Raw genomic sequence first — 1,342 nt, 5'->3', positions numbered from 1 at the left:
TTCTAAAGATGTGCCTTTCAGGTTCCCTCCATTAAACAGTAGGGCTTCTCTGATTATTAGGGGTGTTCTCACAATGAGCCTCTGCTAATGGAGTGGATTTCATAAACTGACACTTGAGAAACCCATAAGGTTTTTAAAAGAATGTCAGCTTAGACCGAAAGACAAAGAGACAGTGCAAAATGAAGAGTCTTTCTACTCCTGGAATTGTATAGGCAGGCAGTAGACTGAGAAAACTACTCAGCTGTAAACACAATTTTTTTTTTTTTTAATGAAAAAGAAAGGATGGCCCAGAGGGTAGAAACAAACACAGAAAGCAGAGCGAAGAATCATGGAGAAAAAACCCCAGAGAGTAGGACCAAACCCTAGTCAAGGACCTTACAGGGTGTACCTGGCTGGAATTTCAGAACTGCCATAGACCAGAGATTGCCATGTGCTTTCCCTTTCCCCGTTTTTGGATAGTGTGTCTATTGCGGTTATTCTAAGCCTGTACCACCATTGCATATTGCATGTGGAAGGGAAGAGAGGAGATAATTCTCTCTCTCTTTCACAAGCCTTTGGATCATGAAGAATGTGACTCAGTGTGCTATAATTGAAGAACCACATCTGAGGAGCTTTATATGATGAGATCTTGGGCCTCAAGCCTGACCCTGAAGTCGTAATGGTATGAGACTTTTGTGGTTTCTTGGGAGGGGATGAACAATCTTGCATGGGAAAGGATGTGAACTGTGGCCACAAGGTAGACTGTAGCAGATTGTTTTCCAAAGATGATGGCAACAGTATCTTTTATGCCACATAATTCGTCTAGAACCTTGCCTCACCCCATCAAGAGATGGAGTCTGATTCCCTTCTTGAATGTGGATGGGCTAGCGGCTTTCTTGTTACCAGTAGAATACTGTGGAAGTGATACTTCGTGACTTCAGAGGCTAGGTCAGAAAAGGTGATGAAACTTCCGACTTTGCATGAATACTTGTGCTGGAGACCAGAGTCCCTTTGTAAGTAGTATGACTCCTCCTGAGACTGCAAGCGCAGAAATCCCCAATCAGCCCCCAGCTGCTCCAGGCCCATTTCAGCTCCAGCTGCCACCTGACTGCAACTGCATGAGAGACCATGAGGCAGAATCATCCATTTGAGCCCTTCCTTTTCAATTTTCTGGCCCACAGAAGCCAGGAAGAATAATAAAATGATTGTTTTCATTTTAAGCCACTAGGTTTGGGGGTAGGTTGTTATGGAGCAGTAATAACTGAACCCACTCCCATCACCACCCAATCCTATAGAAACCATTATAATATGGTATTTCCTTTTATTTTATGTGACCTTAGAGTTCTTTTGTGAGAATGCATCT

General features: G+C 43.2%; 1 annotated feature.

The window, feature by feature from the left end:
• Positions 1,023 to 1,112: an enhancer, noted in NCBI's record as "active region_15352". NCBI's record gives its function as "activates an Ori minimal core promoter by ATAC-STARR-seq in GM12878 lymphoblastoid cells {active_cell/tissue: GM12878}" and the evidence as "EXISTENCE:reporter gene assay evidence [ECO:0000049][PMID:35858748]".

Source organism: Homo sapiens, chromosome 2 (assembly GCF_000001405.40).
Source record: "Homo sapiens chromosome 2, GRCh38.p14 Primary Assembly".
In the NCBI taxonomy this organism is placed as follows: Eukaryota; Metazoa; Chordata; class Mammalia; order Primates; family Hominidae; genus Homo; species Homo sapiens.
Note: the sequence above shows the minus strand (reverse complement) of the source record. Positions and strands in the feature narration are given on the sequence as shown.